This window comes from Homo sapiens, chromosome 5 (assembly GCF_000001405.40).
Source record: "Homo sapiens chromosome 5, GRCh38.p14 Primary Assembly".
NCBI classification, from domain to species: Eukaryota; Metazoa; Chordata; class Mammalia; order Primates; family Hominidae; genus Homo; species Homo sapiens.
Window position 1 is genome coordinate 3,335,500 of NC_000005.10, and position 14,037 is coordinate 3,349,536.

The 14,037-nt window shown below is 52.2% G+C and overlaps 2 annotated features.

Annotated features, from left to right (window-relative positions):
* Positions 10,562–11,063: an enhancer, noted in NCBI's record as "H3K4me1 hESC enhancer chr5:3346175-3346676 (GRCh37/hg19 assembly coordinates)". NCBI's record gives its function as "activates a minimal SCP1, AML or CMV promoter by ChIP-STARR-seq in naive H9 embryonic stem cells {active_cell/tissue: H9 hESC(naive)}" and the evidence as "EXISTENCE:reporter gene assay evidence [ECO:0000049][PMID:30033119]".
* Positions 11,064–11,563: an enhancer, noted in NCBI's record as "H3K4me1 hESC enhancer chr5:3346677-3347176 (GRCh37/hg19 assembly coordinates)". NCBI's record gives its function as "activates a minimal SCP1, AML or CMV promoter by ChIP-STARR-seq in naive H9 embryonic stem cells {active_cell/tissue: H9 hESC(naive)}" and the evidence as "EXISTENCE:reporter gene assay evidence [ECO:0000049][PMID:30033119]".

Genomic DNA, 14,037 nt, shown 5'->3' on the forward strand with positions numbered 1-14,037 from the left:
CGGCGGTCCTGGGGCCCACCGAGCAGCACCTCGGGCCATCACTGACTGGGCCTTTTGCCGTGCAAGTGAAGCTTTGCCTGTGCTAGGAAGGCAGTGGACTACTGGTCCTGACATGCCCCAAAGAGGCGTCTCCCTTGATACCTGTCGCTGGGAAAAGCAATCTCAAAACTTGGTCACCTCTTCTCCCTTCTTACCTCCCACCCTCCCACACACCCCACGCAGGAGGTAGAAGGGCCTACTTTCACGGACACCATTTCTCTGTAAAGAATTTAAAATAGTTTCTAAAGCACTTTTCCATGTCTTCTCTATTTTTATCCTTTCAGGAAACTTGCAAAGCCATAATATTATTTTACTTTTTTGGTGTAAAATGGAGCCCAAAAGGCTGTAAGGTGTGGTCATCCTGCAGCAGCTGGGGCATGGAGCACAGGGGAGCTGGCCTTCACACTGTGGGGTCTGCATTTGCTGTGGCAGACAAGCTCGTGGAGGTAACACCGCGCAAGGACAGTGAGCTGGAGAGAGGAGCCTGAGATGCTTGGGGTAAAGGTGCTTTCACCTTTGGAGGCAGGTTCCTTCCATCCGAGCAGAGGGCCCTGGACAGCCCTTCGTGAAACCTAGCAGTGAGAAGGTGTGTCTAGACTTGCTTCCATCCACACAGTGCCCTGGTGTCCCTTAAACTTTCCCATCACTCAGGGCCTTGGGCAGCAGCTGCACGGAGCGGGACCCTCAGAGACACTGTTGGATGGTCCTTTAAGATGGCAGGTGTTCTATTCCATGCACGTTTTGTAGATGAGAAACTAAAAACCGATGAAGTGACTTGCCTAACTTAAGCCACCCAGCTAATACATTGTAAAAGCAACATTTGAATCCAGATGGGAGAACCTATGTTCTGCAGAGAGCTTGAAAGGGTGAAAGGAGGAAGAACTCTTGCTTCCCTAGGGAGCCCGGGGAGGGAGACAGAGCCAGGAGTTAAGAAACTGTCCATGCATGAGAACTCGAGACTCTCACAAAGCTGCAAGCTGTGCACTATGACACCCATTTGATAGAGAGGGAAACTGAGGCTCAGAGGTTCAAGGACGGAGACCGGTATTGATCCCAGCTCTGACAGCAATGCTCCACGCTGCCTCCACTGCACATAAAGAGAAATCTCCTTGGCGTTGGGACCGCTGAACCCCACGATAGCAGCTGGTCCCCGGATCTGGATGTCTGGCCCCACAGAGAACCCGTTGAAGGCAGCATTGGAATCATGATGAGGCCGATACCATGGACGACCCCAGGAGGTGCATGTGGTGGGAAGTGGGTGGGCACGACCCCCAGGCCACCCATGCTGTCTTGACACTGGAGCTGCTGCCCTGGCCTCTGACCGGCTGGCCAGCCTCCGTGGCGCCTCCCCACCAAGCACTGGCTTCCGTGGCCTGAAGATCCCAGTGCAAATGAATCAGAAACACATGGCTGACTTTTCCCTGGAATTACACGTGATTTGACAAATGGTTAGAAGTCTCTGGCAAAATACATTTGGGATTATTTTATTGTCTAAAAGTTTGAAAAATAAGTTTGAGATGTTCCAAAAGTCTGAACACGGCTTTCCTTACTCATCATGCTGTTGAACAAGGAGTAAATAACTGCCGGTGTGACACCCCAGAGAAGCCCTTCCTGATGCAGTCGACGGGGGTGAGAACGTCGCGGGAAATATTCCCTCACTAACCCCCACTTTGGGCTACACAGCGGCCTTGGAGAGGACCACACTCTACAGGAAAAACATCAGGCTTGCAAAGATGTTTACAATAGCAGAGGCATGGAGTTGGTAGAAGAGAAAGATCTCCAAGCAAAGAATGGGTTTTCCCTGAGAAGGTCGCATCCCATGCAGACAACCCATTTCGCCTCACCAGGAAAGCTGAACTCAGACCCCTGTGAGTTGTGTTCATAGCGCTTTACGTCCATCTCCTTAAAACTGTGGTGGTGGCTTACGTCTGTCATCCCCGCACTTTGGGAAGCTGAGGCGGGCAGATGATGAGATCAAGAGTTTGAGACCATCCTGGCCAACACGGTGAAACCCCATCTCTACTAAAAATACAAAAATTAGCTGGGCGTGGTGGAGCGTGCCTGCAGTCCCAGCTACTTGGGAGGCTGAAGCAGGAGAATCACTTGAACCCGGGAGGCAGAGCTTGCAGTGAGCCGAGATCGTGCCATTGCCCTCCAGCCTGGTGACAGAGCGAGACTCCGTCTCAGAAAAACAAAAACAAAAACAAACTGTGGCATCTTCAAGAAGATGGCATTTTATCCAATTCCCCTTTAATGAGAATGTGAGCTTAAGTTAGGCTAACTTTTGTCTCTCTGTTGTCCCTAATCGGACTAAGAAAAGCCACGTGATCTTGAGCAGAACAAGGAACATTTCAGCCCCCCGGCCTGTAACAGGGAAGGTGAGTGGCTGGGGGTGGGAGGCGGATGCCCTTTCTTCATTCCTGCCCAGCTCTGGTGCTCCTGGCTGGGGGCTTCCTCTGAGGCTCTGTTCCCTGGGCAGTCAGGGCTTGGGCATGGGGCCTTTCCTCTTCTTGTCTTACAACTGAGTCACAGAGACCCCTCTGGAGGGGGTCACACCCCAAATCAAGGAAGTGCTGATAAGGCTGGGACAGCTTGAAGGAACCATGAGAGGGCTGAGCGGGGAGGCTGGATTCAGGGTTCTGCCCCATTGATCATCTTTGATGGTGTGGGACAGGCAGAAGAGGAGGGAAGGCGGTAGGCAGGGGACACCTGGATCCCTTCCATGTACAGCAGTGAGGGTGTCCTGTGGGTGGAGGGTGGGGCAGCCTGTGCACAGAAAAACCGTCCCCAGCCTGGAACTGAGCCCCAGGTGGAGACCACCGTGGCCCTAGGCCCTCTTCCCTCTACCTCCCGCCTCGTTTCTCACCGGGACCCTGCAGTGTCCACACCTGAGCATGTCTGGGCCCAGCACGAACCAGCCTGTGCCTGGTGCTCCCACCTCTGTCTGGACCCCACGATGGCTTCCTCGTCCTCCTGGCTTCTGCTTCCTCGCCGTCCTCCACCCCCACAGGGTTGTGATTTTCTCCCTGAACCTCATCATAATCACGCCACTTCTCTTCCATCCATCTCCATGTCCCCCACCTGGGCCTGGAGACCTCCAGGTGCCTGCCCAGTCGCCCCTGGCCCCTTTGTATAGGGAATCTGGATGTCGACTCTAAATATGGAGCTTCCTCCTGTCTCCTGGCCCCTCCCCTTGAGAACCATGAGCATTTTTCCTGACACCCCCTTAAGGCAGGGCTCTCTCCACTGGATCCTGGAACCCCAAAGCTCTGTGCCAGTCCCTCCCCAGCATCTCAAACTGACCTGCAAATAGCAGGCGTCCACTGAAATTCTGCCTATGTGAGTGGAAGTTCCTGCTTGTTCCTCTTACTGTGTGATTTGGGAGAGGGCTGTCCTCATCCCTGGTGCACCCTTTCGTCATCCGCTTAAATCTCAGCGAAGCCACCTCAGCTTCCAGTGACAGCGGCCGGCGGGAGGCAGCCCTGAGAATTTTGAGCAAACACAGTTTGGAAAACTCAGGGTGGAGGCAGAAAGGACCAGGGATGAGCGGATTCAGAACGAAAGCTGGTGGGCAGGTGGGGGTACAGGTGGGCACTCTCATGGCCTTCTTCCAGATCTCGTCTAACAGGAGTTTAAAAAATGATTTAATGAACAAAAAGTACCAGGGGATTCCCCACACACGGTGCACAAAGAGCAGAGGGGGTGAGAATTAACGCTGGCGATGCGGTAATTACCGTAATTACCAGACTCAACAATTGTTCATTATCTGAGACTTCACGTCTTCAAACAGTTGGAGACATGACCTGCGAGAGGCCGGTCTGCGTTGCTTTCATGGTGCTGTCCTGGGATGCCAGTGTCAGTTCCGGGGTCTGTGCACTTGGCACAGGGGTTCATGCGGGTCGGGGTCCGTGTGGCGTGAGGGGCTCCACGCTGCACCCAGGGGCACACCAGGAAATGAAGTTTTGCTTTGCTCACCTTGAAACCACACGGAACGTTCTAAATTGTGCATTCCACATTTGTGCCTGTTGAGTGTGTAAGTGGCAATTGCACAGAACGTTTAAAGTGAGGCTGGGACATCCAAAAGGCAGTTGCCAAATTTTTTGGTGAGTTCATTGTCAGTGAATCAGAAACATATGACTTGAATTACCATACAAATTCATGTTTAGAATCTTATGAGCACCGTCTTTGGCAAACCAAAGCTCAGAGTCACCAGGGAGGAGCTTGGACACCGAGTGAGGAGAGAGACCACCACGCAGTTTCAAAGCGGCGGCGCCTGTGGCTGGGTGTGTGGAGTGGAGGGTCCTGACTGTGAAGGTGATCTCCTCGCCCCCAGGCTCCCAGCTCTGTTACAGGCCTGGGTCTGAGGCTGCTGTGTCCAGGAGCATCCAGGCAGAGCACCCTGGAGCCCGAAGCAGAGTCCCACTCAATGCTTACCCATGCTTCAGGCATGGAGGCCACCCGCTGTGCCAGCTTGTGATGGGGATGGTGGGAAGTACAGCCGCCTCTCCTCCAGGCCGGATGTTTCCTTGCTTCCTCGGGAAGTTGGGGCCAAGGGAGCCGTGCACCCTCTGCTTTTGTACAGTTCTCCAGAAACGACAGAGGCGTCCCACTTCTTTTACAGCCTGTATTTATTTCTCATGAAGTTAAAAAGAAAGCAAACTGTTGTGCTGCCTCCTGGTCTCTGAGGTCAGGGTGGATGCTCAGTCCTGTGATCCTATGTACTGAATGATCTCCTTCTTCAGATGAGAAAATGAAGTGACAGCCACAGGCATGACAGCCCTCACGGTGGCACAGGAGTCCCTGGCCGCAGCCTCTGACCCTATCTGTTACTCCAAGCCATCACTTCCAGCACCAGCCCTGGGCTCCTTGAGTCTCTGTTCTGATGCCAAAGCAGGTGCCAGTGAAGCTCCTCTGGCTGACTCATTCTTCCAGTCCCTCTTGATGGGACCATCGGGGTCAACATGCCCTGCCACCTTTTTCTCTGTGTCTGTTCAGTGGAATCACGGCTTCAGCCGGGGCACCACATTCAAGACCGTCCCTTTCTCTCATCCAGTGATTAGGCATTCCTCGGAGGTGCTGGGCCCCAGCCTGGACAGGAGGGCCCTGGGCGGGCTCTTGCTTCTCAACCACACGAGACACATCACCAGCCAGGCAGGCACCTCTGTGGTGGTGCTATCCAGGGCTGCACGGCGCAGCTACTCTCCCGAGTGCACCGGCCAGGTCAGAGAAAAGCCTGCTCCCTGTCTATTGCCACGTGGCCTCAGAAAAAGGTTCCATGGAGGCTGTGGTTTTCCCAGTGCCAGTGCTGAGACAGACACTGCACCAGGGTGGGAAATTGGAATCGCAGAGCGCTTGGGGCAGGGAGGCAGAGCTGGTGGGTGGATCAATTCTTTCCTGCCAACTGCAGGCCAGCAGCAGATTCCTCAGTAATGAAGGTGGGTCCCAGCAGTGCCTGTTGTTCGTCTGCTTTTCCTTCTCTTCTGTGCTCTTGTTCGTGATTCTGGAAGTTAGCACAAGCTACCCTGGTGTTCTCCAGAGCCGCACACCTTGACAAAGCAGTATCTTACAATGTGCAGCTATTCAGATCCCTCTCGCACCGATGCGAAGAGGGAACAGCGGTTTCCTGTGGCTATTTCACAGGTGGCATCTCCATCGTCACCATATAATCAGCGATTCTGCTGGCATAAAGGCAAGAAAAATTAATTTCATAAACTAAACCTACAATGTATAAATCACAGAAGTTGTTATTTTTCCACTCCTGGGAAAACTGCCAGCCCATTCATAGGACAGCCAGACATGCATGATGATCAGATTTAGAATCTGTCCTTGCTGTTGCCCCGTCTTACAGCCTTGAAAAACTTTACTCCCGCAACTACATTGTAGCATTGCTATCTTGAAGGCAGATTATTTGAAGGTATATTTGAAGTATATTTGAAGGTAGAAGGTAGAAAAATAAAACACATCTCTGTTTGCTAACTTGGTCTTTGGCTGTTAAATATTTAGCTATTTGGCATAAGGGCCTCCAATGATGCTCTTGCACAAGCCTGTCCGTGCCACAGATGGCCTGCTCGGGGTAGAGTCCTCAGCCCCTGCCCTCCACAGCCTCCTGCTCCCAGTGTGCATGGAAGAGGGTGAGGCCAGCCATGGAGACAGCTAGAGCGTGCCCAGCCCTGCCTGTCTTAACAGCGATTTTGCAGAGGAATTGTCTAAAATTAATGACTCAACTCTTTATGTTTGCTGGAACATTTCTATTGTCTGGATCACCCTGCCTCTAAACCTTCCAGTAGGTTCCAACCTCCAGGAATGAGCACAGCTGCACTGGATCCCAATTCGCCTTTCAGCGATGCCTCTCCAGGCACACACGCTACCAGCAGCACTTGTTCCTTTGTCCTTCTGCCACAGCGGAAGCAGAGCCCACATCATCCTGAACTCTCTATGCAGTCAGGACAGTCCTCAAAGCCGTTCCCACCCGTGCCGTGCACTCTGAATTGGAGGACATCAAGGTTGGCAGGGTCTCCCGGCAGAATCTGCTCCAGGAGGCCCTTCAGTGAGCAGGAGGCTGCCCCAGGACCCCGGGCCCCGAAGGAAGAAATCCTCAGCTCCTCTTCCCACCCACCCTCTCATCTCAAGCTAGCGCCTCCCAATGGCCAAAACCAACAGGAAGTCTGAGGGCCAGGGGATCCTGGGTGAGCAGGACAGAGAAAGGGCAGAGAGGCCTGGTGGGCAGTAGGGCCCTGTATGAATACGGCCCTGACCCTGATGAATGGGTACAGAACAGCGTGGCAGAGGACAAAGGTTTGGGCATGAGGGTCCCACAAACCTGGCTTCCTATGAAGTCTGCCACCTGTGCTAGAGGCCTGCCCAGCCCAATGATCCCTCCGTTTGCTTGAGACTTGTCACCCTAAGCGTCCTCCTGGTGCCTGCCCAGCTGGCCCTCAGCACTCAGGGATGGCAGAGTGCTTCGGCCCTCCTGTCCTGGGCCACACCAGATGTGAGAAGCATCTTCCCCAGTTGAGCTCTGATGACAGTGGTGCCTCTGCCCTCTGGTCCTGGGCCACACCGGATGTGAGAAACATTTTCCCCGGTTGAGCTCTGATGACAGCGGTGCCTCGGCCCTCTTGTCCTGGGCCACACCAGATGTGAGAAATGCCTTCCCTGGTTGAGCTCTGATGACAGTGGTGCCTCTGCCCTCTGGTCCTGGGCCACACCGGGTGTGAGAAACGCCTTCCCCGGGTTGAGCTCCAGTGCTTCTCTTGGCAGTGGGCACTTACGAGTCCCCTGCACCTCTCTGGACCTGGCCTGGCCCACCTGCCTCTTCTTCCTCCTCAGTCTTTCAGGTGCTGGGGCCCGTCCTTCCCAAGAACGCAGCCCCCGTGCCCAGCTGAACCTCAGCCACCACATCCCAGAGCCCCTCAGCATCTCAGGTGAACAGAACTCACTTGCTTCCCGACACCCCCCTCCATGTGTGGCATGAGGCTGCCAGGGACCCTAAACAAGGCCCAACCTCCCCCTCCATATGTGGCATGAGGCTGCCGGGGACCTTGAACAAGGCCCCACCTTTGGAGGATCCAGTCCCTTCGCTGGGGCATGACTGGGTTGAACAAGGTGTCTCCCAACCCTCTGTCCTTAATGCCAGTGCTCTCTCTCACCTGAGGATGCAGCTCAAAAGTACTCAATGTTTATTTTTCTAATTGACTTTCTCAATGTGTGAAACAGACTGCAGCAGCTGCTTCTGCTTTTAGGGGCTGGAGGGAGCAGATCAGGGCTGTGGCAAAGAGAACCCTGAGCCGGGGCCTCCGCTCCTGGGGATGGGGGTGCTGCTGTAGAGGAGCTGGCGGGTGGAGGTGAGAGTCAAAAAGAAAGTTCCCTGTTGTAGAGATTTTCAGCTTGTCCTCCAGCACCTGACAAAGGTAAGCAGAGTCAACACCTGATAAAGGTAAGCGGAGTCTGGGTGACCTGCTTGCCCTGTGTAGGCTACTCACACAGCAGATGCAAAGTGCAGCCACAGGGTCAGACCTGCTCAAGTCTCCCCACCCCACCGACAGCCTTTCTCTCCCCTCCTCCTCTCTCCTCCCTCCTCCATCCCACCACCCACCTCTCTCCCCCCACCCTTCTCTCTCCCCCCACCCTGTCTCTGTCATAAGCACTTTCTTTTTTTTCCTTTATTTTTCTCCTGAAACAAAGAAAGGAAGGCAAGGTCGTTGGAGGCGGGCTTTCTTTTCACTCGGGGAGTGAATAGCGTTTGGGGGTGCCTGGCACCCCCACCCATGCTGTCTGTCTCAATTGGTGCTTGACTTATCGTGCTGGGAGACTGGGAAGAAGCAGGGTGGGAGCATGCCCGCCTTTTATCCTTCTATCCACAGTTCTTCTACAGCACCAATAAGCTGCTTTGCTTATGGCATAGAAACATGTCCCTGAGTTGCTGAAAAATTACTTTCTTCTCTTCTCACTACTGACATGACTCGGTGCCTACCCTTTTCTTCCCCTCATTCTTCTTTTGTCCCTTGGACTACAGCTCAAGATGCCACATGGCGAGGCTCTGCAGCCCATCTGCTCAAACCTGCCCACACCGCACCTTGCTCCCGGGAGCCCTAAACCCCTCGCCGAGTCTCAGGCTGAGCAGGGGTCTCAGATCTGGCTGCCCATTAGAAACCTGGTAGGCTCTCACCCAATGCAAAGGATGCTGTGATCCCCTCAGCAGGTCCTGAGAGAGGTGAGTGATTTCTTTTTGTTAAGCTGGCCAGGTGATTTCACTGTGAGTCCAAGGTGGAGAGCTGGGGTCTAAGTCACGCAAGCTCAGCAGGACCAGTATCTCCCCACGGGGGCAGACATTGGTTCATGGGGAATAAAATGTCTTAATCTTCATATACCTCAATTACAGGTAAGCATGCAATACCCAGACAGAGAGCTTCCTAGATGAGGGGCAATTAGGAAATAATAACCTAAAACCCTCTCTAGGTAGACAATAATGAAAAACGGTGGTATATAAATCATATCTAAAAAAGTCTGTGATAAATACACACACACACACACATATATATGTACATGTGATGAAAGTGTGTAAAAAAGGCGATCTAAATGCACCTGGCCCCACGGGGCTAAAGCCCCAGTTTTATTAAATGCCACTCCCAGGTGGCCGTGCTGCATTCAGCACCATGATGTTAACAAACACCACAGTAAAGTCTTCTGATTCTATACAACCTGCTGAGGTCCACGGGAGGAGTCAAGAGGGGAAGAGGGTTTGGACCGAAAGCCGTAGCAGGGGGAGTGACCGTATAGGCTTCTAGCGCTGCTGGACACCTGGGAAGCCCTGTTTGGCTGCGGGTGCACGCTGGTTAGGGAGGGTAGCTGGGATGGCCTGGATGGCTTGCAGGGGCTGCATGTTCTCTGGGCAGAAAAGAGGCATCTTGGTGGAGAGGCACCGTCCGTCCCTCAGGACCGTCTGTCTTTAACATGCTCCATACCCACCAGAGACACTTTGTGAGGTGTGCCTGTCCCTGGCACACACACCCTCCTGGGACACTTGTGGGCTATTGTTCCTGAAGGCTGGCAGCTGAAGTCATTCCCTGTACACCTTGACCTCCTGTTCTGTCTGGCAAAACCCAACAATGGCACCATGACAACAGTGCAATCGTTGGCCACTTGGGGTGGAGGAGAGGACACCCTGCCATCTCCTGCTGGAGGAGGAATGATTATCCTCATTACTCTTGTTGGGATCCACTGCTTTTGCCATGATTATCCCTGTGGCTGCATCTCGGGGCATCTGTGGGCTTGTTGCCTTGTGGTAAACACATGCAGACGGAGCTGATGCAGATGCATTCAGCAGCGCAGGGCTCCTATCTCCTGACCGGATGTGGACATGGTCTTCTCGGGATGGCAGCCCTGCAGCCCTGAGCTGAGTCTGCCCTGTGGGTTTGCGGTCACCAGTGTCCCCGAGGCCCCTCAGGCCCGAGCTGCCCAATGCATCCATGCTCTCTTTCAAACTTTCACATTTCTGTTTATTTCACTTAGCATCTATTTTGGATTATGTTCTAGGGTAGAAATTTAATAGTTTTCTAATCGTTATCCTTCTGTATAATCAGTCTTTCTGCATTGGTTTGCAAGGACTCAGCCACTGCACACCCACACTGGTCTCTGGAGGGGCAGCCACGTTCTATCGTGTAAGTATGTACATAGTTAATGCATATTCACCTATATTTCTTTCATCTTATTCAGATGTTAGTGTATCTGCACAGACTTTTCTTAACTAAAACACAGCTATGTTTTTGGGTATGTGTAGAGGATAAAGTTGGGAAATTGACCAACCTCTCTCAACTGTGCATATCTCTCTCATCAATGTCTCTGTCTCCATGTCTGCCTTTCTCTGTGTGTGTATAAATGCATGTATACATAAACATGCATCATGTAAGCCACAGTGATATGTGTTACATAGTTTCTGTATTTACAGTATATTCATATCCTGACTTCCTAATTTGTTCCATTTATCTTTCTGTCTAATCTTAGCCAGGTCATGGTTTGTGGTACGATTGGTACCAACATGTTGTTCATTAAGGCACAGATGTACACCTTGTCTTTGAAAATATTGTCTTGCCTATTCTTACACGCTTATTCTCCCAGGTAACCTTTAAAAGTATCACACCAGGTTCTCGGAAATGTGCATTGGAATTAGAATTGAATTAAACATATAAACACTCTGAGGGAGCTTGTCTCTTCCCAGGGTAACGTCCGCCCCGTGGCAGGGACTGCTGACTGTCCCTACGCTCTCCTCCTTCCTCTTGGTGATGGAAGCTACCACCCGCCGAGTTGCAGATGCCCACATTTCCCGGACCCTGTGCAGCTCGCTGTGGCACAGAGACTGCATGTGGGACAATGGGAATACTACCAAAGGCAAGGAAGACAATTTCCAGGTGGTCTTTTCAAAGTCCAGGCCACATGTCCCAACTTCTTATCTCCCTTCCCACAGAGAGGCTGAGGAGTGAGGTGAGCCAGCCTCCATCCCGTGGGAGAGAACCACATGACGGGCCAGCCCCATCCCGTGGGAGAGAACCACATGACGGGCCAGCCCCATCCCGTGGGAGAGAACCACATGACGGGCCAGCCCAATCCTGTGGGAGAGAACCACATGACGGTGGAGCCACACGTCCACCAGAGCCTAAGCGTTGGGGCCCCGAGTGACCACACGGAACCACGCTGCCCCAGGCACAGGAGCACTCAACTCTGCAGCCTCACCAGAGGGAGACGGCGCTGCCTGCCCGAGCCGCTTCACACTCAGACCTTTTCACTACAGCAGATTCATCTACTCACAACAAAGGGGTTGTGAGTTCTCCAAGAACATGTTTTTAAATATCTTTCAGTAAATCTATTACAAGTTCTCATTAGATTGAATTTATTCTTAAGTTGTTTTATCTCAGTTGCTATTATAAATAAATTAATTTATTCCATGCCAATTGGTACTTTGGTTAGACAGGAAACATCAATTTTGAGAATATATTTAATAATCGGCTTCTTTGTAATTTTTTATTAGTTACTTCATGCGTGTGCATGTGTGTGTGTGAATGTTTACAAACATGGAACATGCAAATAGTGGTGACTTTTTGTCCGTTTCTCTGAGGGAATGAGCTGAAGACTGTCTCGATACCTGACTTTTTCTTTCTTTATACTTTTCCTTTGGAATCCAACTCCTTACACACACCCAGATGCCTCCTTACAGACACATCTCCCTATTCGACCTCTCTCTAGATGATGCATTTTGTCATTTCTCCACCAAGGTATCTTTCTCTACCATCGAGCTATTAAATTGACCCACAATTTCTCCAGCGCCAGCTTCCCTGGGGGAGCCATTGTCCTGGGCGCACAGCCCCACCTCCTTCAATCACTGGCAGCACCTAATTCTTCTTTCAGGTCTAGCTGGGCCTCTGCCCTCTAAAGACCACGGTGGCCTCTCTTCACCTGGACATCTTATGCTCACTGCCTGTGCCCCTTTTTAAAAAGAATGTTGGTATTTCTGTTTAAATAATTTGACCCATTAAAGCCCGCTGGAAGGGTAGGATGCATAGATGCTATATCCCCTGGTACTACACATTGCAGGCTCTCAATGTGGAATTAAGTTTAATTCAACAAATACCAAATGCCTGTCACATGCCACCAAGCCCCAGGAGAGAGGCATTCCTCATTGTTGAAGGAGGCAGATGGATGTTGGTGGCTAAACAATGCTTTTAATAGGGCCCAGAACAGTTTCTCTATGCAGAGCAGCAAGGGCTGACCTTGATCAAGTCTATGTTTTTCCTCATTAATGGCACACGGGTATAGTCTAACCACTGACAGGCTGGGGAATGGGGTGAGCCAGCCTCTATCCCCTGGGAGAGAACCACACCCCACATGAGAGTTGAGCCACCGGTCCACCACCGCCCAAGTGTTGGGGCCCTGAATGACTGCATGGAGCAGAGCTACCCCAAGCGCAGGAGCACTCAACTCAGCGGCCTCATCAGAGGCAGATGGTGCTGCCTGCCCATCTCTGCCCCTGAAGTGGAGAGTATAGATTTTATTCCCAGTTATACACTGTCCTGATGTTGAGCAAGCTCCTCCAGCTTCCTGTGCCCCCTCCTCTAGGTGAAGCCTCCCTACCTTCCACAACCCCACAGCATCCCTCCCTCCTTATACTTCTGCTAGAGATGTCTTGAGAATAAATGAGGCATTAGCAACCTGTTCTGAGGAAGACACTGTGTAAATATGATGCAGGGTTTCACCTGCCCTAAACTGCTAAAAGAATTGCTGATTCTGTGCTAAACAGATGACCACGTTATTTTCCCATGGAGCCTCCTTTCTGCTAACAGGGAGAGTCCCCACCAGGCCAAGCCTCTTAAAAGGAGTGTGAAGAAAAACAATGGAAGGTGCCTTGGTTTATAAATGGCTGTATTATTCTTAGCATGCACCCTATCGGGACGCCTGTGAAGTTGCTGACGCGACTCAATTTAATGAGGTGAGATCAATGGGGCCTGCAGTCCCCAAGTGCAGGACTCATGCTCCTGGTGGCCTCAGTCTGCCCATTCCCTGTGGTGGGTGTTGATGCTACTTTGGGTTTGAATGATAATCTTTTTAATGATGAACTGAAAGTAAAGAAAGGCCCTGAAAGAAAAAAATAAACACAATGATAAGCAAAGGAAACCCTGCTCCGTTACATAAGAAAACAGCCTCAGCCCCGCGCCAGCTGCGTTCAGAGCCAGCCCGTTCCAGCAGCATGCTCAGGTGGTGTTTCCGCATCCCCCGCGAGGGAGCATCTCCTAGTATCCTTAGCAATCCCACATGAAAAACTAGCATGTTTTCCATCTGGAGCACTCGAGACCTGACACAGGATGCCATGCTTACATAGTCAGAAGTCCAGCTCGTGAAGGCCCAAGAGCCAACGCCGGTGCTCCCCTTCCCGGGACGTTTCACAATCAGCCCTGATGGGGCGATGCCAGGCTGGTCACAGGCATCTCACCAGGAGGGGCAGGGGCACAGGCCACACAGTGGCTGTGTTGCAGGTGCTGGTGAACACTTGTGTGCCCTGATGTAGATGCACTGCCCAGGAGACCCCAGGGCTAGGTGAGAGGTCTCCACACTCCACTCCATCCCGTTGTCCAGGATGGAGTGGCAACTTACAACGCCAGGCCCCAGGACTGGTTATCAGGTGTTGGCAGAGGGTGAAAGCGTGTGGCTCCTCCTGAAAGCCTGCTCTGTCCACCACTGTTGGAGGTGACATCTTCGTGGTTCAGATCACAGACTCTATTTTGGCTTTGTGTCTCAAGCATGCTGGTGAGGGCAGAGCCTGTGGGCTGTGGATTCTCAGAGGCTCAGCAGCAAGAGCCCCTGCGCCACCAGCCTCAGGTCCCACCAGTGGCCTGGGAGCTGTCCCTGGCAGATGCAGCACCTCCATATGACATGCCTACATCGTAGCGGTTTGTCCCTGGCTTTGTGTGAGAGCAAACATCCCCTCCCATCATCTGGAAGCAAATTCCA